The sequence below is a fragment of the Homo sapiens genome, chromosome 14 (assembly GCF_000001405.40).
Source record: "Homo sapiens chromosome 14, GRCh38.p14 Primary Assembly".
NCBI classification, from domain to species: Eukaryota; Metazoa; Chordata; class Mammalia; order Primates; family Hominidae; genus Homo; species Homo sapiens.
Window position 1 is genome coordinate 61,084,779 of NC_000014.9, and position 24,212 is coordinate 61,108,990.

Sequence of the window (24,212 nt, forward strand, 5' to 3'; positions counted from 1 at the left end):
AGTCTTTGCCCTCTCTGCAAGCTAGACTCGCTACTGGCCCTTCCCAGAGTGGGCCAAGAGACCAGGCTTATTCCTCAGTTGGACATCTGACCTTTCACAAAATAGAGTTCTCCCCTGGGAGGATGATGCCTCCAGGGCAATAGGAACACTTTTTTGTTAGCTTATTACTATCTCTATCCAATTCTACACCACAAGGCATTCTTGTGGGTGTGAAAAGCTATTGAGGAATGAAATGGCCCTGTGGGCTAGACAGGTGAAAAGAGAATAAAATCTCAGCATGTGAAGGTCTAGGAAGAGTGTCACTTAAACTTTTAAAAAAAAGCCAGACAAACTGCAAGTTTACTACTTTTTTTGGAGAGCTGAGGTCACAGGGCAGCCAATTAGCCTAAAAATCTAAGGACTGGAGGAGGCCTATGAAGAAGCATGGGACACAAGCCCTTGCTTACCTGGAGCAGATGTAGCCAACAGAAGAACTCAGCAGGAGTAGGTAAAGAATTGGTGGCGAATGAGTGAGGACTGGTGAGAGTATGGAGACCCTGGGGAATGCATATGTAGAGGGAGTTTGCACCTTCTTGGAGACTTTTCTCCATGGACTCCACCAGGCACTGTATCCCACCAGAAAAGACTGGCCAAAGTCCTGAGAAAGAATCCCTCACAGTGCAGGTATGGGGGAAAGGGAAAATAGCCACTGCAAAGGGGCATGAACCCCACCCTTTCTCCTTTCTAGAAAAAAAGCCTTAATCTACAGGAGAAAGGGAAAAATACTGTTTCCTTTAGTCTACTGGCAAAACTTAGGGAAGAACAGAACAAAATACCTCTCTGTCCCAAGGAAGGGGCAGGAATACAGAAACAAGAACTAAGAATGTATTGCCAATAAATGTACTTGAGAAGAAATGTTAAAGAAGTTCTTCAGGTAGGAGAAATGTGAAACAAGATAGAAATGCGTAACTAAAGACACAAAAATATGAAGAGCGCTGGAAATTGATTAAATGAAGGTAAACTAAGATACATGTAAAATGTTTAAATGATCCTAAAAGATAAATGACTGTCAAGAGTAAACATAGTAGCAATGTATTATGTGTGTATAGGATAGGTAAAAGTAAAATGTATCGTAACAATGATACAAAGGTTGGGAGGGAGGAATTGAGGAGAAATTATTTTAAGATCCTTACATTATGAATGAAGCAGTATATTATTTGAAGGTAAACTCTGATCAATTAAAGATGTATTGTGTAAATGCTAGGACAACAACTAAAAAATTTCTCAACTATAAATCAAATAATGGAGATAAAATGCAATCATAAAAAAGTGTTCATAAGAGTAGAAGTCAATGAAATTGAAAAACAGAAAAACAATAAAGTCAATAAAACCAAAACCTATTTCTTATAAAATATCAATAAAATTGATAAGCCTTTAGCCAGACTGACAAAAAATAGAGGAGATACAAATTACCAATATCAGGAATGAAAGAGGGAAACTACTACAGATCCCATAGACAATAACAAGATAATAAGGGAATGCTATAAACAACTCTATGACCATACATTGGACAACACAGATGAATGAATTAATTTCTTAAAAGATACAAATGATCAAAACTCACCCCAGAAGAAATATACAATTTTAATAGTGATATATATTAAAGAAATTGAATTGTACTTATAAGCCTCTGAAATATTCAACAGTTAACAAACAAGAATAGGTCTAGATATTTCAATGGAAAATTCTACCAGACATTTAAAGAGGAACTATCACTAATTATATACGATATATTCTAGAAAATAAAAGAGGGGGTAACATCTCAATTCATTTTATGAAGCCAGCATTACCCTGATATCAAGGCAGATAAAGACAGTTTCGAAACCTATAGACCAGTATCTCTCATGAGCATTGATGCAGAAATACTCAACAAAATATTAGAAATTATGAAAAGAAGAATACAACATGAACAAATGGGTTATGCTGGGAAAGCAAGTTTGATTTTTTAAATTAATTTTTAAATAATAAAATAATTATTCCATTATATTAACAGCGTAAAGAAGAAAAGCTGCATGATTATATTAATTTATGCAGAAAAGGCATTTGACAAAAGTCAGCATTCATTCATGATAGTTATTCTCAGCAAAATAGGAATTGGAAATTTCCTCAAGCTGATAAAGGGCATCTAAAAAAATGAAAACAAAAAACAACCCTACAGCTAATATTATACCTAATGCTGAAAGACTGAATGTTTTCTCCTAATATTAGGAGATAAGAATATCCTCTCATACCACTCCTGTTCAACATTTTACTGAAAGGCCTAGCCAGTGCAATAAGGCAATAAAAAGAAATATAGAACATACAGATTGGAAATGAAAAAAATGAAATAGTCCCTACTCACTGACAATAGGATTGTTTATGTAAAAAAAAAAAAAAATCCCAAACCATCACCAAAAAACCCGACCTAATTAATATGTGAATTCTTAATCATGACATGTTATGAATGTCCAGTTTTCCATGTGTGTGTGTTTGTGTGTGTGTTTGTGTTTGTGTGTGTATTTATGGAGTTATCATTCTTGCTTTCTGACTATCCAGCATTCAAACATTATCAGTATTGGAGGAGAATCTCAAAATATATGTCTTTACCAGCAAGCTAAAGGGACCAGATAGATATTTCTTCTCTCTATTTCATGGGAGGTATAACTATATGACTGAGTCTTGACCGATCAGGTGCTCCCATGCTGGGCTCAAATTTCAAGGAAGTAATGAAATTATACAGGTGGCTGTTGGAGATTTCTCATGAGGACAGCTGAATCAGGAGTCCCTCAATGCAGAGGTTTGTGTCCGGGGATGGTGGGATTTTGTTTATAACACTACCAGGCTGGACCATGATATGAGCTGGCTGTGTTCTTGGTTGCCTCACCACCCTTTGTTCCTGCCCTGTTGCCGACCCTAGTTCACCAGCCTTATTGTTGAGTCTATAAGCTACCTTCTAATAAGGCTATTTTCTACCTGATATCCAGAGTTTATTCCTTCTGTTGTTATCAACAATGTGTGTGTGTGTGTGCATGCGCGCATGTGTGTGTGTGTGTATGTATTAAAAAATGGGAATGGCATTATACTGCTTATATTGTCCTGTTACTTTATTACTTAAACATATATACTGTCAACATTTTTCCATGTCCATGATGTTGCTCTATTTAATCATTTTAATTATTGCCTGGCATTAACTTATAGGGATTTATTGTAATCTGTTTAACCAATCTCCCATGACTGGACATTTAGGTTGCTTCTAACATTTATTTATAATAAACAACACTGCTATGCATATCTATACATATAAATCTTTTGGATTTTAACTAATTATTTCCTTAAAGTTCTAGATGTAGAATTGCTATATCAAAGGGTAGGTACGTTTTTCAGGTTTTTGATTCATACTGCCAAATTTCTTAACCTCTCCCTCAAAAAACTTGTGACAATTTATACTACCATCAGTCATATGCCTTTATGACAATGTTGATTTCCAGGCATACTACCAACTTAGATTATTATCTTTGTGAAATTTTTGAGTTATTACTTATGTTCAGTGACTTTGTAAATATTTGTTAGCTGTTTGTGATTATTGCTTTGTGAGTGACTGCTATTGTCTTTTGTTCATAATTCTTTTGAGGGAAAGGAACATACTTTTTATTTAATTTATAAGAGCTCATAATTTTATTTATATTTATATATATAAGTATATATATATATATGTGTGTATATATATATATGTGTGTGTGTATGTATATATATATATATATATATATATATATATATGTGTGTGTGTGTGTGTATATATATATAATTTTTTTTTTGAGATGGAGTCTCTGTCTGTCACCCAGGCTGGAGTGCAGTGGCATGATCTCAGCTCATTGCAACCTCCACCTCCCAGGTTCAAATGATTCTCCTTTTATATTAAGGCATCTATCTGTCTAACATCTGTGGATCTATACATCATATATATTAAGGTATAATGGCCATGTATATTGCTATTTTCCCCCAATTTTTATTTGTGTTTTTGCTTTGTTTATTCTATTCTGAATTTTTTCCCCATTTGTATATAGTCTATTAAACAATGCTTTATAGTTTCTGTCTTTGGTTGATACTTCAAAATAACTTTCCCGTCCCAAAATGGTAACAGTATTTACATTTTTTACTGGTACTCTTATGTGTTTTTTTTTAATAAAATAATCATATAGAACTAATTTTGTTTTAAGGTACGAGGTACTAGCTAACATTTTCTTCAGAGTTACTAAATTCTTAAGTATGTTTGAATTTGTGAACTCTGTATTTCTGAACTTTTCTTAATGTCTCCTTAATCTATGCTAGGGCTAAATTACTCAATTAATTAAACAATTTCAAGATTTCAGAAGTTTTAATATTTAATGAGAAGTCTTCAGCCTTGGGGTAGAATGTTGTTGCTTGTTACTTAGTGCTGGGGAGTCAGGGGTGCGCTTGATCCTAGTACACTCTCAGGCTTTGGCAGGCCCTGTATGCCTGGATCTTAGGAGTAAGGCTTTCTCAGAAATCCTGCCCCTCCTCCTCCTCCTCCTGTGGCAGCTGAACCCTGCCTTGTGTCATGTGCAGGAGAGAATGTCTGGATCTGGGGCTCAGGACTGTTTCTTGCCCGTTCCCCAGGGATCAAGGGTGTTTTGGCTTTCCCCTTCCCCAAGCTGCAGTAGGTCTTCACCTGTGCCCTGACTGCAACAGGCTGTACTGTCCCTCCCCAGTGGCTTAGGTGGGAGGAGGGTGTGGCTGTAGCCTTATGCCTTTCCTTCAGCAATGTTGCCCCTCTTTCCTGGGCCTGCACTGTGCAGGGAGGCTTCTTTGCTCTCCCACCCTGCCTTCAGTCCTTTCTCAATCAGTAGGTGGAAGGGAGTGGAGAAGAGCCTGCAAGTGGGCACCAATTCCTCTTGTGTCTGCAGCCCCCAGGGGTGCTACACTCATGCTAGTCTGCTTCTGGCCTTTAGTAATTTGTTAAAAGCTTTAGATGAATTCTTTTTATGTTTTTGTATGGCACCCAGTGTTTCTTCCCATACTCAGCCACATCTCTTCTTGGGGACGCAGCCTTTCCTTAGATTTCAGGCTTTTGGGTTCCGTGTGATCTCAGCTTTCTGGTGGACTCAAGAAAAGGTATGGGTTTTTGGTCATCTGACTTTATTGTTGTTGTTAGGGTGGGAGAGACACTATTTTAAGCTTTCTTTATAGTAAGCAGGAGGGGAACTCCTGTGTTTTCATAGCTAATCAAGCATGGACCCTGCCCTTATTCTCTTTTTAAAAATTTTCTTGGCTATTCTCACATATCTGTTCTCTTAAATATACTTTAGAATCATTTGCTCAAGTACCTCAAACCCAAACACCTCCAAAAGAATTCCTTTTGGATTGACATGGTATCAAAATATGTAAACTGACTTCAGTCCCAGATGTTGTCGAAACTTCATTCCCAAGATCTGAATAGAGCAGTCAGAGCGGATTGTGATTGAAAGACCACCTCCAAGGCCAGCCTGCCTCTAAATCCCACCTGTTTTGTTTTGGTGTCTTGAAATTCCAGCATTAGAGTGCAGAAAAATAGTTCTAGGACCTTAGAGGATGAAAATGTATGCAGTTTGTGTTGGAAGGACCAGCATAATAACTAATGTGCAACCATCACTGCACTTACAAATTAAGGTCACAGATCTAGACAAAGTATTGTGTGAATTAAGTGAGTCAGTGAGTGAGTGAGTATGGAGAGGGACTCTGTTAAGAACAGGGGAGCTAGAGGGGAAATGACTGGATCTGGAACTGAGAGCACCCGAGTAGCTGAGAATGCGGACTCTAAATCTTCTGGGGACAAGAGGAGAGGAGCAAAAGCCCCACAGCCACCTCTGTGGTTGTCACACTTCAATCTGGCAGCTAGAGAAAAGCCCGAACCAGGCCAGGTAAGGCTCCCCTCAAGGACTATGTAGATTGTGTGCTACAGGCAAAAAAGGGGAAAACCCTCCAAGAGGATCCAGCAGTGATCACAGCTATTGATTTGTACTCCCACGGCCCTTGCGGCCATGCATCTCTTAAAATCAAATGAAACAACCATCAACAATTGTGGTAAGAATTTTCCAGTAGGAGAAATAGAGAAAGGAAAAAAAATTCTGAGAAAACAAAACAAAACCCTTCTTGATGTTTTCCACAGACTGCTTTAGAAAGAGAAAGACTGATGCAATCCAATCAAGGACAGTGATCCTCGGTTGACCCAGGATATTTCACAGACCCAGAATGCAGAAGGCACAGACGCCCACAAGCAGGCCTCAGTTTTGACTTCTTAAATGCAACCATTTTTTGTAAATTAATATTGAATTTTCAACCAACTCCAGCACCTCATTAAGGAGGGGCCTGTTCTTTGCCAAACTCTTCCAAGGGAACCTGCTGGGTTTGAGTGTAGGTGTCAGCAAACATTTCCCAGTATGTTCTAATGGGGAAATATTTATTTTGTAACACTCCTTCCTAACCGAAAATACAATTATGTGACATGTTTTATATGACCAAGGGGATTTGGGCTAAGATTTTGTATCCATAATGTGCCCTAATATTGAGAAATATCATTTTTAAAGTATTCTCTTTGGCATTGACAGGGGGCTACATTCTGGAAAAATAGCACTTCATGGGAATTTCCCTTTAGCCCTGAGAAAAAATAGTTTGGGAACACATAACAGTATATTTGGTTTGGGATGTTAAATCCTGCAGGGTCTCTGAAAGAGGCAAATGGGTGTGAGAAAGAATTAGTTACTGCAAGTTTATTTCATAATGGCCTATAAAAAATATACGTGTTCCATTTCTAAAGCTGCTATGCCCTTACTATAGCTATAGCTATTTTTTAAAACAAGAAAGACTTTCCACAAGTCATTTTCTACTTTGGGTGGGATAACATTTAGAGCAAGGTATAAAGGACCTTTGCCAGAGTAATTACCATTTAAGGCAAAGGTCTCCAAGATTTTACTTGGAGCTGAAGATCTTGGCGCAGCCCTGGCTCTGTGGAACACCACACACATCCAGTGACCATGGGAAAGCTGGCTCCCTGCTGGGTAGTGCTGCAGCATTAGTACAAGTCTCATGCTCTGAAGGGTGAAATGTGATGATCTGCTAAGTGAAGGCTCTGTCAGGAGAAGCCAGAGGAGTGGTAACAGCTCACCAAACCAAAATCCATGAAGTCCCAGCCCTTTTTCATCGTCACCATTTTTGCATATAGAACATGTCCCTATGGGGACATCCAGGGAGTGGGTGCCAGGACTCAGTGTGCCCAGCCCAAGGCCAAAGAGAGTTTATTAGCAGAAGGATCACTTACATGATTTGGAACCACAGGAGAGAGAGATGTGTGGTGGCTGAAAGCAGAACTTGGGCTAATGTTTATAAGAGAGACCAGCCAAGAAGCCTATGCATTAATTAGTGTTCTGCTGGTTGTTCTGTTAGGAGGCATCATTCATCACTTAAAATAAGACCTTTTATTTATTTATTTATTATACTTTAAGTTCTAGAGTACATGTGCACAATGTGCAGGTTTGTTACATATGTATACATGTGCCATGTTGGTGTGCTGCACCCATTAACTCATCATTTACATTAGGTATATCTCCTAATGCTATCCCTCCCCCCACCCCCCACCCAAAGACAGGCCCCAGTGTGTGCTGTTCCCCATCCTGTGTCCAAGTGTTGTCATTGTTCACCTCTCACGTATGAGTGAGAACATGCGGTGTTTGGTTTTCTGTCCTTGCAATAGTTTGCTCAGAATGATGGTTTCCAGCTTCATCCATGTCCCTACAAAGGACATGAACTCATCCTTTTTTATGGCTGCATAGTATTCCATGGTGTATATGTGCCACATTTTCTTAATCCAGTATATCACTGATGGACATTTGGGTTGGTTCCAAGTCTTTGCTATTGTGAATAGTGCCTCAATAAACATATGTGTGCATGTGTCTTTATATCAGCATGATTTATATTCCTTTGGGTATATACCCAGTAATGGGATGGCTGGGTCAAATGGTATTTCTAGTTCTAGATCCTTGAGGAATCGCCACACTGCCTTCCACAATGGTTGAACTAGTTTACAGTCCCACCAACAGTGTAAAAGTGTTCCTATTTCTCCACATCCTCTCCAGCACCTGTTGTTTCCTGACTTTTTAATGATCGCCATTCTAACTGGTGTGAGATGGTATCTCATGGTGGTTTTGATTTGCATTTCTCTGATGGCCAGTGATGATGAGCATTTTTTCATGTCTGTTGGCTGCATAAATGTCTTCTTTTGAGAAGTGTCTGTTCATATCCTTTGCCCACTTTTTGATGGGGTTGTTTGATTTTTTCTTGTAAATTTGTTTAAGTTCTTTGTAGATTCTGGATATTAGCCCTTTGTCAGATGGGTAGATTGTAAAAATTTTCTCCCATTCTGTAGGTTGCCTGTTCACTCTGATGGTAGTTTCTTTTGCTGTGCAGAAGCTCTTTAGTTTCATTAGATCCCATTTGTCAATTTTGGCTTTGGTTGCCATTGCTTTTGGTGTTTTAGTCATGAAGTCCTTGCCCATGCCTATGTCCTGAATGGTATTGCCTAGGTTTTCTTCTATGGTTTTTATGGTTTTAGGTCTAACATTCAAGTCTTTAATCCATCTTGAATTAATTTTAGTATAAGGTGTAAGGAATGGATCCAGTTTCAGCTTTCTACATGTGGCTAGCCAGTTTTCCTAGCACCATTTATTAAATAGGGTATCCTTTCCCCATTTCTTGTTTTTCTCAGGTTTGTCAAAGATCAGATGGTTGTAGATGTGTGGTATTATTTCTGAGGGCTCTGTTCTGTTCCATTCATCTATATCTGTTTTGGTACCAGTAACGTGCTGTTTTGGTTACTGTAGCCTCGTAGTATAGTTTGAAGTCAGGTAGTGTGATGCCTCCAGCTTTGTTCTTTTGGCTTAGGATTGTCTTGGCAATGTGGGCTCTTTTTTGGTTCCATATGAACCTTAAAGTAGTTTTTTCCAATTCTGTGAAGAAAGTCACAGATGGCATTGATGGGGATGGCATTGAATCTATACATTACCTTGGGCAGTATGGCCATTTTCACAATATTGATTCTTCCTACCCATGAGCATGGAATGTTCTTCCATTTGTTTGTGTCCTCTTTTATTTCGTTGAGCAGTGGTTTGTAGTTCTCCTTGAAGAGGTCCTTCACATCCCTTGTAAGTTGGATTCCTAAGTATTTTATTCTCTTTGAAGCAATTGTGAATGGGAGTTCACTCATGATTTGGCTCTCTGTCTGTTTTTGGTGTATAAGAATGCTTGTGATTTTTGCACATTGATTTTGTATCCTGAGACTTTGCTGAAGTCGCTTATCAGTTTAAGGAGGTTTTGGGCTGAGATGATGAGGTTTTCTAAATATACAATCATGTCATGTGCAAACAGAGACTATTTGACTTCCTCTTTTCCTAATTGAATACCCTTTATTTCTTCTCTTGCCTGATTGCCCTGGCCAGAACTTCCAACACTATGTTGAATAAGAGTGGTGAGAGAGGGCATCCCTGTCTTTTGCCAGTTTTCAAAGGGAATGCTTCCAGTTTTTGCCCATTCAGTATGATATTGACTGTGGGTTTGTCATAAATAGCTCTTATTATTTTGAGATACATCCCATCAATACCTAGTTTATTGAGAGTTTTTAGCATGAAGGGGTGTTGAATTTTGTCGGAAGCCTTTTCTGCATCTATTGAGATAATCATGTGGTTTTTGTCTTTGGTTCTGTTTATTTGATGGATTATGATTATTGATTTGTATATGTTGAACCAGCCTTGCATCCCAGGGATGAAGCCCACTTGATCATGGTGGATAAGCTTTTTGATGTGCTGCTGGATTCAGTTTGCCAGTATTTTATTGAGGATGTTTACATTGATGTTCATCAGGGATATTGGTCTAAAATTCTCTTTTGTTGTTGTGTCTCTGCCAGGCTTTGTTATCAGGATGATGCTAGCCTCATAAAATGAGTTAGGGAGGATTCCCTCTTTTTCTATTGATTGGAATAGTTTCAGAAGGAATGGTACCAGCTCCTCCTTGTACCTCTGGTAGAATTTGGCTGTGAATGCATCTGGTCCTGGACTTTTTTTGGTTGGTAGGCTCTTAATTATTACCTCAATTTCAGAGCCTGTTATTGATCTATTCAGGGATCCAACTTCTTCCTGGTTTAGTGTTGGGAGGGTGTATGTGTCAAGGAATTTATCCATTTCTTCTAGATTTTCTAGTTTATTTTTGTAGAGGTGTTTATAGTATTCTCTGATGGTAGTTTGTATTTCTGTGGGATCGGTGGTGATATCCCCTTTATCATTTTTTATTGCATCTATTTGATTCTTCTCTCTTCTTTATTAGTCTTGCTAGTGGTCTATCAATTTTGTTGATCTTTTCAAAAAACCAGCTCCTGGATTCATTGATTTGTTGAAGGGTTTTTTGTGTCTCTATCTCCTTCAGTTCTGCTCTGATCTTAGTTATTTCTTGCCTTCGGCTAGCTTTTGAATGTGTTTACTCTTGCTTTTCTAGCTCTTTTAATTGTGATGTTAGGGTGTCAATTTTAGATCTTTCCTGCTTTCTCTTGTGGGCATTTAGTGCTATAAATTTCCCTCTACACACTGCTTTGAATGTGTCCCAGAGATTCTGTTATGTTGTGTCTTTGTTCTCATTGGTTTCAAAGAACATCTCTATTTCTGCCTCCATTTCATTATGTACCCAGTAGTCATTCAGGAGCAGGTTGTTCAGTTTCCATGTATTTGAGGGGTTTTGAGTGAGTTTCTTAATCCTGAGTTCTAGTTTGATTGCACTGTGGTCTGAGAGACAGTTTGTTATAATTTCTGTTCTTCTACATTTGCTGAAGAATACGTTACTTCCAACTATGTGGTCAATCCTGGAATAAGTGCACTGTGGTGCTGAGAAGAATGTATATTCTGTTGATTTGGGGTGGAGAGTTCTGTAGATGTCTATTAGGTCCACTTGGTGCAGAGCTGAGTTCAATTCCTGGATATCCTTGTTAACTTTCTGTCTCATGGATCTGTCTAATGTTGACAGTGGGATGTTAAAGTCTCCCATTATTATTGTGTGGGAGTCTAAGTCTCTTTGTAGGTCTCTAAGGACTTGCTTTATGCATCTGGGTGCTCCTGTATGGTGCATATATATTTAGGATAGTTAGCTCTTCTTGTTGAATTGATCCCTTTACCATTATGTAATGGCCTTCTTTGTCTCTTTTGGTCTTTGTTGGTTTAAAGTCTGTTTTATCAGAGACTAGGATTCCAACCCCAGCTTTTTTTTGGTTTTCCATTTGCTTGGTAGATCTTCCTCCATCCCTTTATTTTGAGCCTATGTGTGTCTCTGCACATGAGATGGGTCTCCTGAATATAGCACACTGATGAGTCTTAACTCTTTATCCGATTTGCCAGTCTGTGTATTTTAATCGGAGCATTTAGCCCACTTACATTTAAGGTTAATATTGTTATGTGTGAATTTGATCCTGTCGTTATGATGTTAGCTGGTTATTTTGCTCGTTAGTTGATGCAGTTTCTTCCTAGCATCGATGGTCTTTGCAATTTGGCATGTTTTTGCAATGGCTGGTACCGGTTGTTCCTTTCCATGTTTAGTGCTTACTTCAGGAGCTCTTATAAGGCAGGCCTGGTGGTGACAAAATCTCTCAGCATTTGCTTGTCTGTAAAGTATTTTATTTCTCCTTCACTTATGAAGCTTAGTTTGGCTGGATACTAAATTCTGGGTTGAAAATTCTTTTCTTTAAGAATGTTGAATATTGGCCCCCACTCTCTTCTGGCTTGTAGAGTTTCTGCTGAGAGATCAGCTGTTAGTCTGATGGGCTTCCCTTTGTGGGTAACCCGACCTTTCTCTCTGGCTGCCCTTAACATTTTTTCCTTCATTTCAACTTTGGTGAATCTGACAATTATGTGTCTTGGAGTTGCTATTCTCAAGGAGTATCTTTGTGGTATTCTCTGTGTTTCCTGAATTTGAATGTTGGCCTTCCTTGCTAGGTTGGGGGAGTTCTCCTGAATAATATCCTGCAGAGTGATTTCCAACTTGGTTCCATTCTCCCTGTCACTTTCAAGTACACCAATCAGATGTAGATTTGGTCTTTTCGCATACTCCCATATTTCTTGGAGGCTTTGTTCATTTCTTTTTACTCTTTTTTCTCTAAACTTCTCTTCTCACTTCATTTCATTCATTTGATCTTCCGTCACTGATACCCTTTCTTCCCCTTGATCGAATCAGCTACTGAAGCTTGTGCATGCATCACGTAGTTCTCGTGCCATGGTTTTCAGCACCATCAGGTCATTTAAGGTCTTCCTATGCTGTTTATTCTAGTTAGCCTTTCATCTAATCTTTTTTCAAGTTTTTAGCTTCTTTGCGATGGGTTCGAACATCCTCCTTTAGCTCGGAGTAGTTTGTTATTACCGATCATCTGAAGCCTTCTTCTCTCAACTCATCAAAGCCTTTCTCCATCCAGCTTTGTTCTGTTGCTGGCAAGGAGCTGCGTTCTTTTGGAGGAGAAGAGGCACTCTGATTTTTAGAATTTTCAGCTTTTCTGCTCTGGTTTCTCCCCACCTTTGTGGTTTTATCTACCTTTGGTCTTTGAGGATGGTGACATATAGATGGGCTTTTGGTGTGGATGTCCTTTCTGTTTGTTAGTTTTCCTTCTAACAGTCAGGACCCTCAGCTGCATGTCTGTTGGAGTTTGCTGGAGGTCCACTCCAGACCCTTTTTGCCTGGGTATCACCAGCGGAGGCTGCAGAACAGCAAATATTGCAGAATGGCAAATGTTGCTGCCTAATCGTTGCTCTGGAAGCTTCGTCTCAGAGGGGCACCTGGCTGTATGTGGTGTCAGTCAGCCCCTAGTGGGAGGTGCCTCCCAGTTAGGCTACTTGGGGATCAGGGACCCAATTGAGGAGGCAGTCTATCCGTTCTCAGATCTCAAACTCCATGCTGAGAGAACCACTACTCTCTTCAAAGCTGTCAGATAGTGAGGTTTAAGTCTGCAGAAGTTTCTGCTGCCTTTTCTTCAGCTATGCCCTGTCCCCAGAGGTGGAGTCTACAGAGGCAGGCAGGCCTCCTTGAGCTGCAGTGGGGTCCATCCAGTTCGAGCTTCCTGACTGCTTTGTTTACCTACTCAGGCCTCAGCAATGGTGGACGCCCCTCCCCCAGCCTCACTGTCACCTTGCAGTTCAATCTCAGACTGCTGTGCTAGCAATGAGCGAGGCTCCATGGGCATGGAACCCTCCGAGCCAGGCACAGGATATAATCTCCTGGTGTGCTGTTTGCTAAGACAATTGGAAAAGCGCAGTACTAGGGTGGGAGTGTCCCGATTTTCCAGGTACCATCTGTCACGGCTTCCCTTGGCTAGGAAAGGGAATATCCCGACCCCTTGCACTTCCCGGGTGAGGCGATGCTCCGCCCTGCTTTGGCTCACGCTCCGTGGGCTGCACCCACTGTCTGAAAAGCCCCAGTGAGATGAACCCGGTACCTCAGTTGGAAATGCAGAAGTCACCCATCTTCTGCGTTGCTCACGTTGGGAGCTGTAGACTGGAACTGTTCCTATTAGGCCATCTTGGAACTCCCGCCCTTTTTTTTTTTTTTTTTTTTTTGAGATAGAGTCCTACTCTGTCACCCAGCCTGGAGTGCAGTGGAGCGATGTCGGTTCACTGCAACCTCTGTCTCCTGGGTTCAAGCAATTCTCCTGCCTCCACCTCCCAAGTAGCTGGGACTACAGGCACCTGCCACCTTGCCTGGCCAATTTTTATATTTTTAGTGGAGATGGGGGTTTCACCATGTTGGCCAGGCTAGTCTCAAACTCCTGACCTCAGGTGATCCTCCCGCCTTGGCCTCCCAAAGTGCTGGGATTACAGGCGTGAGCTACCATGCCTGGCCAAAATAAGACCATTTATTGGAAGCCAATTGTTTTTATAAAATAATGACCCTATGAAACTGGTCAGAGGGAAATAATTTATACATACTAATGAAAATCAAACTCCTCATACTAATGTAAATCAAACTATACAGACACAATAGGAAATATAGAAATGTAAGTTTAAACAAATATTTATCTATTGACTCATAGTCCATCAACATAGTCTTTTGTTTCAGGCATGATTGGTAGAGGCATAGCTGTCTGCCACAATGTCAGCATCATCAGTTTAGGAAGCTATCACCCTCCCCCAACATCCTATTTTTCTCTTATAATTTCTTATGATTCCTTCATCCACCCATTCCTAAACCAATCATCAACTCCCAGTTATCACTGTGTATGGAGTAGTACTTCTTTTTAACCTCCTACCCAATATGTAAAAAGTAATATTTCATTTTACTTATCTAAATTTACCTGACATCCAAGGTAGAAAGGACAAGTAATTTCATTATTTTGGAATTTGAAACCAACTCTCCATGTTTATCTTCTTTGTGTCTTTCACAATTTTATAACTTTATAGCTTTTTTCCCTTTAACTTTTTTTATCTTTCCCGGAAAAAAAAAAAAAGACATTTTTTTGCCTGTATAGAAGCCATTCCATTTTCTTGACCATATGTTGCATTTCTCTGGATGTCCTCCAGCTCCAATTTGCCTTCCCAGCAAAGATGTGTTTTTTAAAAAGCAGTTGAATTACCACATGCTTTATTATTTTTCCTACATCATCAAGCACCAGTTTGTTGTGCTAACAGCTGTTAGTAAAGCCAAAAGTTAGTTAAGTAAGTAAATATTTTAGTTTCAGAATAGAAATGTTGACAGAGACATAAATTACTAATTTGCCAATCCTTCTGGGACACACACACACACATATAGCTAATTTTGTACACACCCACCCACTTTCAGAATTACCCATAGCAGCCAATGATTAATAAATTGGTAAATTATGAGTGTATTGACACACATATGTATACAAACACCCAATAAGACAAGAAAGTGTGCAAGTAAATTACAGGTGTGATATGGTATGGCTCTGTGTCCCCACCCAAATATCATCTCGAATTGTAATCCCCACGTATCGGGGGAGGGATCTGGTGGGAGGTGATTGGATCATGGGGGTGGTTCCTCCATGCTGTTCTTATGATAGTGAGTGAGTTCCCATGAGATGTGATGGTTTAAAGTGTTTGACAGTTCCTCTCTCTCTCTTGTCTCTCTCTCTCTCTCACCTGCTGCCATGTAAGATGTGCCTGCTTCCCCTTATGCCATGATTGTAAGTTTCCTGAGGCCTCCCAAAGCCATGCAGAATTGTGTCAATTAAACCTCTTTTCTTTGTAAATTTCCCAGTCTTGGGTATTTCTTTATAGCAGTGTGAAAACGGACTAATAAAAGGTGCCCACAATACTAGCTCTTTAAGCTAGAGAAAGCTCCCAAATGTCACCTGAACAGACCCATTTTCCTAAATTTGGCAACATGTGAAATATCCAAATCAAACTCTTGTCTTTCTTGTAAACTCAAAATTATTTATTAGGTATTGACTGAGGCCAACACTGTGTCAGGCATCAGAGGTAGAAAGATTCCAGCTATAAATTTAGGGAGACACTTGGGTTGCTGAGACACTGGGTTATGGAGAGAATTAACAGGGTAATAACTGTGATCTGCTTAGAAGAGGGCCAGGCACATAGTGTTATTGTTATTTCAAAGGGTCTGCTTTTTAACTTTTGTGTTTTGTAATCAGAAGAAAATAGAGTATTTAGAAATACCTAATGAGAAGGACAACACTAGAGGTATGGATAAAGTACTGTGGGTGCATCAAGGAAGGAACCACTGGGCCTGCCTGTGGGAGCCGGGAACTGTGTCAGAATGAAGATTAATTTGAGCCTCGAAAGATAGAGAAGGTAGAGGAACAGCAAATACTATCTAGACCCATTCTTGCTTCATTTTGAGGCAATTTCCTCTTGTTCAGGATTTTGGAGAGAGAGAAAACCCTGATAAGAGATGCCCTGATAATAACCCATCTTTTTTGAGGGATGGTAAATCACCCATAATAAAACTTTCAAACCATAACCTGTCCAGTTCCCTTTCTCTTTCCTTGGGGGATTTATTTTCATGTTTTTTTTCCCCTTTGTTTGGGGAAGAGGAAGACAGGAGGAGCCTTAGCAAAATGATCAAAATAATCACAGTGTGTCTTTGCCCAGTGCCCCTCGCCCCCACTCCCACCTCCAGGGGATTTCAGTGGGTGGGTTCTCCCTGTGCTCACTGAACCTGGGCTCCCATTTTTCAGTGAAAAAGGAACCTGTGAGCTCATTCTCACTGGGCTGTCCCAGGCTTACCATGCAGGGTCTGCATCCTAAAATGCAAGCTTTCTGGGAATGATGTCTTAATGCAGAGGTTCCTAGACCAGTAGAATTCCCCCCAGTTTTGGTAACCTCTGACAAAGTGATACCTTTTTATTTTGCTAAGTGAGAACATTAAAAAGAAAATGCATTCCCACCTAATATTACCCATGCTTTCTAAAAGAAAGCATATTTTAACAATAATAAAATAGTGGGAAAGGATTTCAAATACAGTTTTTAAAATGGAATATAATTGGTTTATGAAAAATCTACTACCTTTATTCAGCTGCTGACCTGTGATGGTCTGCATTAACTCAAAGGGATGCATACCTAATGGTCGCAAGTCAGACACCAGCAGGGACGGAGTGGGAACAAATTGAGGAAGAAGAAACAAATAGTCTTGGTTTTCTGTGTGTCCTTGGCATGGACGGGGTGCTGCCTCCAAGATCTCTGCATGCTCTGTAGCTCAGCTTTGTCAGCCTCCAGCATGTAACCGTTGTCAGAACTGGGCCTTGGTCTCCAGGATGGACAGCCCAAACCATCCGAGTCAGGAATTGACCTGTATGAATCTTTTGTCTCCTTAATTTGCTATCCTCATGGTTTCAAAACATGAAGTCAAAACACATGCTTGACCACAGCCCAAGCCTTAAAGAGCACATTAGTCCTGGTGCCTATTTAGGTTTAGAAACTTAATGCATCAGGTGAGGCTAATGTGCTTCAAATATTAGACTCTCAAGCAAGTGCTTTTCTCAAGGAAACTGTCCCCTTTGAGGTACCTGGCATTTCAAGCCAACTTGGGACACATCAAGTGTCAATAAAGTTTGATACATCATAGCAGCCATCCCAGCCTTCTATCAAAAGTGTCATAGTGCTACTAGCATTAGGAAATGAAATATGCAAAACCTGCATTTCTATTTTTGGTCATGCTCTGCAGCGTGCTTCCTAGAATAAATTGCCACTGCACAGCAGGATTCAAGGAAACAGTGCTGACAGCCTCACTCTCCTTGCATTGTGATGCACAGAGATCAGCAGGCTGCCGATTTGTGTCCTGAATGAAAAATGGATTCCAGGTAGAAGAACTGTGGCTCCTGACCATTTCCTGGATCTCGCTCAAGAGAATGTACACAAGTATTTATTTATAGCTGCTCAACTCCTTTTCAGACACACTCTAAATTTATTATTCCTGAAATCGAATGAGTTGTAATCACTGATTATGGAAACATTGAGCAATTTCAAGGCAGGCTGGGGAGGAAACTTTTGTCATCAGACTCTCCTGCATTACATCCTGCCTGGCAGTGACTTAACAATTTCATTGTCTGTATTTTCACACTTGTGAAATGGGGAAATACCACTTGTATTGCAGAATTATTATGAAGATTGGAAAGAATAACCAAACAGTGCAGGACACAGAGTAGGCCCTCAAGAAATAGTTTTGGTTTTCATTGTTAAGACTTGTTTAGGGAAGGGAAGTGAGCTCCTTTAGCAGTTCAAGGTTTCCCTCCCACTCTGGGACAGGGTGGTAGAGGTATGAGAGTAGAGACTGCTGAGAGAATATGGTCTCTTTCATTGTGCTCTGTTTTCTCCTTTTGGCCTCATGGGGAGGCATGGACGGGTGTCATCAAAGGGTGACTTGAGGAAGTAGGAGAGCAAATGGCTTCTCCCTGGTTCTCAGAAGTCTAGGTCCCTCACCTGGCTCTTATCCACAATGCCTGTGCTGTTGGTAATAGTTCACGTGCACATGTCTCCTCCAGTTAGGTTGAAAAAAATCCTGCTGGCTCGCACTCCAACATGGGCTGCTTTGTATGTCTCCCTGGCAAGGCACACAGCAAATATTGGTTGTTGCCTTTGGAGGCCAGGTTAGCACAAAGCAAATAGGGCTTGGGTGGGCTCAGGGACAACTAAAGGGGTTGGATGACTAACTCCCTTTTCTGTGACCATCCCTGCCTCTTGTTTACTCCACTGAAAAAGGGCGTAGGGAGGTCAGTTGCCGCTGCTGATCTGCACAAAGGTCAAAGGCAGAGCCACCGAAAGTAGTCTGCTCCTGTTTTTGAAGCTTTCTTCTGTGGGTAATATTGCACTTTGTAAACACTTGGTACTCAATAAATTCCAGCACACATATGGAAGCAATGGTGCCAACTAGCTGGATTGAAAGTACTCGATACCCAGTGTCCAGAGCATTGGCTAATGGAGAGGAAGAGGTTCCCTCCACTTCTGACTATGGGTGTGCGGCACAAGCCCCTGGCGGGCCTCACACACCCTACTTAGCACCTGTCAATCTCCTGTCCTCTGTGAAAGAGCCTGCATTTCTCCCTGTTGGGCCCGCCACTTCTCCAGGATTTTTTCAGTGCTGTCTGTCCAAGTCTTTCTTCTGCTGGAAGTGTGGGAATGGGAAGTCAGCTCTAGCCATGGCTACAAATAATTCACCTTTCCAGCAGCCTGCGGGTTTTCTTCTTACCGGTACAACAGTGAGTCTCATTCTCAGAATCTCTGAGGCCTGGCCAGTGAGGCCCCTATTCTTCTTCCCCTGGCAGAGGCCAGCTCTGATGGTGTCCCCACCCAAAGGGCAGACACCCATGTGATTTCAGTGGTTCGGAGGAATAGGAACGGAATGGAAGGGTGAGGTCTTTTCTGCTGAAGCTCAAAGCACTGTGGATACAGGCCCATATGCGTAGCCTGAATCAGGGGCACTGAGTTCACTCTGCTCAGTTTGCTTATATGTTAGTTTATGGCAGCTGTGGTTGCAAATAGGATCAAATTGTGCAGTTTTTAATTCCGTGTAATGCTGCTGTGAAGATGGACTTAACTGCTTTTCAGTACAGTCATTATGACTCTCTTAACTTCCCTTACTCATGAAACCTAGCATGAGTCATGGCTGGAGAATCTCACTCCACCCCACGGCCCCCACTGTCCCGAGAAGCAGAAAGGCTGGGTTCCTGGGGTTTTTCTTCCTGGCAGTAAACCCCCTCCTCCCTGCAGGACTGTTATAACTGATCCACAGTTAGAACATCAGGGAGCCCATAACCACGCAGGGCGGGGGTTTCTCCTTACCAGCTTGCTCCCCATGCAGCAGGGAAGCGGGTGTCTGCTGCAAATCTCCCCGTGTGGGGGGATGGGAAGAACAATGAGGCTGAACAGACACAAAGGGAGCTGTCCTGTGCCCAGACAGCCCCAGTGACATCTTCAGGCCCAGCCAGGATCCTCCCTTCCCAAAATGGAGCCTGTTTGCTCCCAGTATTAGTAGGGCTCTTTCGATTGCAAAGGACAAAAACTCCTCACTTAGGCTGCTATATTCGTTTGCTAGGGCTGTCTTAACAAAGTCCCACAGACTGGATGGCTCAAATATGGATTGTCTCACAGTTCTGGAGACTGGAAGGCCAAGATCAAGTTGTCTGCAGGGTTGATTCCTTCTGAGGCCTCTCTCCTCAGCTTGCAGAAGACTGTCTTCTCTGCAAATGCATGTGGTCCTCCATCTGCATATGTCTATGTCTTCCTCTTTTAAAAGGACACACTCCTGTTGGATTAGGCTCCACCCTCGTGACCTCATTTAACCGTAATTGCCTCTTTAAAGACCCTATCTCCACTTAAGGTCACATTCTGAGGGACTGGGGGTTAGGACTTCAACATGCCAGTTTTCTGGTGGGAGGACAAAATTACTTGGCTTCCCAGAGCAAAAGCCTGTTTAAGGATGTTGATGGCCTGGAGCTGAGCAAGGCCAATGTGGGGCAGCCCCAGACAGCTTTCCACTTCTGTCTCCACAGCCTTTCCATTCCCTCTGGTTGAAGTCAGGTGTTTCTGTTATATGCACTCCTAACACCCCTCTGTTTTCCACATGGATTTACCACCTCTGTATTTAAATAATGTGTTGTGAAGTCATTTGGTTAATGTCCATCTTCCTGGTTAGATGGAAGCATCAGGGCCGCTAGACGAGTCACCGTCTTCTTTGCAGCAACCCTAGTACTTGGCCCAGGCTGGGCACATAAAAGATGCTCAATTCATAGTTGCTGAATTGAAAGTCCTTTGCTCTTGGTGCTTCTGCTCCTCTGCCTCCTTACTGGCCAGTCAACCCCACAGTAGCCTTGATCCACTTGGCCAGCATTTCAGACAGTCACATTCCATTATTTCACTTCATATAATTTATACTACAGGGGAGATGATATTTCTTTTACACCCATCACTAGGTTCATGGCCAAAGCCCCTATAACAAACGACAGATTAACAAGAGAAAAGCAGACAAATGTATTCAATGTAAATTTTATGTGACACAGGAGCTTTCAGAAATAAAGAGCCAAAGAAACAGGGAAACCTGTGTATTTTTATGCTTAGGTTTGATGAAGTGTGGATATCCGGTCATGAAGAAGTATGACTGGAGGACAAAAAGTTTTGATCTAATGGGAATCAACAGGGAAGGGGGACTTGGCAAGGCCCATTTGCTCATATTCTCTGTGTCCCAGTGTCTTCAGAGATAAGGACATTCATTTCCTCTGGATATAGGGAAGGCATCTTTCAAACGGTGGTCTTATGACCTTCTTCAAGGGAGAGAGATGGGAGAAAGTCTGACGGTGACTTTCCTGCTTCTGCTGTTTCCTCAAATACCAAGGTGCCGTACTTTCGTGTAGTGTGTCCTGACCCCCATCAGTACTGTAGTGTACTTAATATTCTCCTTTACAAATAATTCATGCTTTTACTTAAATAACAGATTTCAGAAGGAAATATTGTATCATAGGTTTGACATCCTGCTTATATTTAAAAATTAAAAGTTGTTAAAACAATCACATAGCTATTAAAATACATGTTTGTGTAACTGTTAAAGTTATCTCCTCAGCTGCTTGTGGGCTGCCTGTCCTCAACAGGTCCTGGAGGGAGTTAGTCTACCTGGCTTAGCTAATGATCTCTCAGGTGGCATTGAATAGAATGCTCTTAGCTGCAAGTAATGGGAATCCCACTGATGCGGACTTAAAGAATTAGAACTTTGGGAGGCTGAGGCAGGTGGATCAGCCTGGGCAACATGGTGAAACCCCATCTCTACCAAAAAATATATATATATATATATGTTATATATTATATTTTATACTTAGTGTATTATATCTAATTATATGTAATATATAATTATATTAATATAAATAATTTAATATTTAGCCTATTATATATACAATTAGAACACTGATTGTCTCACAGAACTGAAATATTGGAATAATGTGGTTTGAGGGCTGGTTGTTTTAGAGGCTATATTATCTCATCAAAGACTGACATTCTTTCTCCGTCTCAGTCCTGCGAGCATCAGGTTTGGCTTCATCTTCTGGGTAGTAGCAAGATGGCAGTAGCAGCAGTCATAGGCATCATATTGAGACACATTGTTCAGAGGAAGAAGACGGATTGTCATTCTGCTTTCAAAAAGCACCCAGCAGACTTCCCTATACATTTTTTTAAGTATTTATTTATTTATAGAGACAAGGTCTTGCTCCATCACCCAGGCCAGAGTGCAGTAGTGCGATCATAGCACACTGCAGCCTTGAACTCTAGGACACAAGCAATCCTCCCCCCTCAGTCTCCTCAGTAGATAGTCCTATAGGTATGCACCACCACACCTGGCTTATTTTTTTATTTTTTATAGAGATGGGATCTTGCTCTGTTGTCCAGACTGGTCTTGAACTCCTGGCCTCAAGCAATTCTCCCACTTGGCCTCCCAAAATGTTGGGAATACAGGCATGAGCCACTGCACCTGGACTCCCTGTAAATTTCTTTGGCCAGAATTGGGTCACACACTCACTCCTGAATTGGAAAGGGAAATGAAGTGACTATGCAGGTCCTCTGGGGTGAAAACCATGCTGGAGTGGAGGCTGCGATGCCCACCACACACATCAGTGGCCAGCCTATGGATAGATTGCAATTAAGGTGCCCTCTGCTGGTGCATACAGGGGTTATCCCCAGCCCCAAACCCGCTGAGGCCAAAGGCCAACTTTGACCTGGCATGGCAGGTGCCAGGACTGACACATCTGTGCTCTCCTCAGGCAACAATTTCTGTGGCCCTCAAGCTATGCCTGGCCTCAGACTGAAGCATCAGCTTCCAAAATGATGCATTGTTCTCCCTGACTCCCGCACGCTCTGGCTTACAGAGGACCTGAGCAAGCAGAGCCGGCACCCCACCCCGGTGTTGGCCCCTGAATCGGGGAAGGGAGACTCTGCCTGAGTCTGCTTTTGATGGGGCTTCGCCAGCCCCGCAGGGCTCATTTTCTCTGTCTCCTGCTAAATTCCCTGGCTGCTCCTCCACTGTCAGGTTGCCAAGCCCCGAGTGTCTCCTGGCTCGTCTGCAGCAGGAAATGGGCCTGACAATTGCTCTTCCAGAGCCAGTGATTTTTCAATATGTAGTTGCATGGATCCCACCCACGCTTCATCTCCAAAACCCCCACTTGTGTTCAGCTCTGATTTACTAAGCACGTACTACAAGCCTGGCTCTGTACTCAGCACTGCAGGTCGGGGAAGCAGGCAGGGCACAGAGGAGGCATCTGATGTGTTCTCTGCTCTCGGCCTCATACTCCAGCCATAGTTGATGGCCACACACTTGGAAGTGAGCTTCCTAGCCAAGGTGGCCCTGGCGGACTACGGGGCACACAAGTGGTCCAGATTAAAAAACAATACTGTGTGGGTTCAGAGAAGGGCAAGGTTGACACAGGCAGTACGTGTGCTGATTATTCTGTCTGCCCCCTACTCACCCCTGTGTCCACTTTTCCCTGCCATGTGTCCTGGATGCAATGGCTGCAGGCTGCAGCAACAGGCCCTTTGCCCCAGCTTCCAGTGGCCTTGCTGGTGGAGCAGTGGGCAGGAGGTCACAGAGCAGAGGAAAAGTGAGGCCGGGGTTTATTTTCCCTGCTTCCTCCCTGTTTTGCTGTGATTCTGGCACTGGCAGGTTCCTCCAGAGCTACAGCTCTGGCAGGACTAGGGGAGCTTGATGGCTTCCTGCTGTTGCTGGTCCCCATTTCCCTACTGGGTTCCCTGAGCCTCCCCACTCTGGAAGCAGCCCCTTTTTTCTTCAGAGTTGTCTTGAGGTTGTTTGCATGATGACTGGCAGACAATGTTTAGGAAGTACTTCCTGCAGGAGCAGCACCCGCATCTGGGCTCCTGAGATGAGCTGAAGCTGGATAAGCAGAGAAGAGGAAAAAGGGCTTTGTAGGGGCAGCACAGCCCCAGCAATGTTCACGAAGAGATGAAGTGAGCACTGGGAGACACTGCCTAGGCAGGGAGGGAAGGTGGAAAACAAGGCGGAGGCTCCCCGTGGAAGCCCTTGACTGCCAGTCCAGGGAACTTGGCCTTTGTCCCATAGGCTACATGGAGCTGCTGGAAGAGTTGCTTGGTGCTAATAAAGCGAAAGTTTTGACTTTGTTATTAATGGCTTTGTTTTGGTTTTTATTTCTACTTTTTCCTTGTTATTGATTTTATTATCATCATTAATAACTACTATGTATTTAATCCTTACTGTTATGGGTTGAATTGGGCCCCCTTTCATTCGTATGTTGAAGTCCTAACCCCCAGTCCCTCAGAGTGTGACCTTAACTGGAGACAGGGTCTTTGAAGAGTTAAAATGAGAATGGGCCCTAATCCAATATGACTGGCGTCCTCACAAGAGGGAGAAATTTGGACATGGAGACACACATAGAGAGAAGATGATGCAAAGGGAGAGGAAGACGGCCACATCCACAAGCAAAGGAGAGAGGCCAGGAAGAGATCCTGCCCTCACAGCCCTCGGAAGGAAACAACCCCCCAGCAGCTTGATTTTGGACTCCTAGCCTCCAGAACCATGAGACAGTAAGTTTCTGCTGTTTAAGTCTGTGGCTTCTTATGGTATTCCGAGGAAACTGACACATTCATCGTGGAACCGTCCTGTGCTGAGCAGTACATCATCAGACGTGTTCTCACTGCAGCTGC

The 24,212-nt window shown here is 42.1% G+C and overlaps 6 annotated features.

Moving 5' to 3' along the window:
- Positions 4,247–4,748: an enhancer, noted in NCBI's record as "H3K27ac hESC enhancer chr14:61555743-61556244 (GRCh37/hg19 assembly coordinates)". NCBI's record gives its function as "activates a minimal SCP1, AML or CMV promoter by ChIP-STARR-seq in primed H9 embryonic stem cells {active_cell/tissue: H9 hESC(primed)}" and the evidence as "EXISTENCE:reporter gene assay evidence [ECO:0000049][PMID:30033119]".
- Positions 5,812–5,951: an enhancer, noted in NCBI's record as "active region_8485". NCBI's record gives its function as "activates an Ori minimal core promoter by ATAC-STARR-seq in GM12878 lymphoblastoid cells {active_cell/tissue: GM12878}" and the evidence as "EXISTENCE:reporter gene assay evidence [ECO:0000049][PMID:35858748]".
- Positions 16,392–17,308: an enhancer, noted in NCBI's record as "OCT4-NANOG-H3K27ac hESC enhancer chr14:61567888-61568804 (GRCh37/hg19 assembly coordinates)". NCBI's record gives its function as "activates a minimal SCP1, AML or CMV promoter by ChIP-STARR-seq in naive H9 embryonic stem cells {active_cell/tissue: H9 hESC(naive)}" and the evidence as "EXISTENCE:reporter gene assay evidence [ECO:0000049][PMID:30033119]".
- Positions 18,572–19,771: an enhancer, noted in NCBI's record as "MED14-independent group 3 enhancer chr14:61570068-61571267 (GRCh37/hg19 assembly coordinates)". NCBI's record gives its function as "activates an origin of replication core promoter dependent on BRD2, BRD4, P300/CBP and CDK7 cofactors, and independent of MED14, by STARR-seq in HCT116 cells {active_cell/tissue: HCT116}" and the evidence as "EXISTENCE:reporter gene assay evidence [ECO:0000049][PMID:35650434]".
- Positions 18,572–20,055: a biological region, named in NCBI's record as "MED14-independent group 3 enhancer GRCh37_chr14:61570068-61571267".
- Positions 19,141–20,055: an enhancer, noted in NCBI's record as "H3K27ac hESC enhancer chr14:61570637-61571551 (GRCh37/hg19 assembly coordinates)". NCBI's record gives its function as "activates a minimal SCP1, AML or CMV promoter by ChIP-STARR-seq in primed H9 embryonic stem cells {active_cell/tissue: H9 hESC(primed)}" and the evidence as "EXISTENCE:reporter gene assay evidence [ECO:0000049][PMID:30033119]".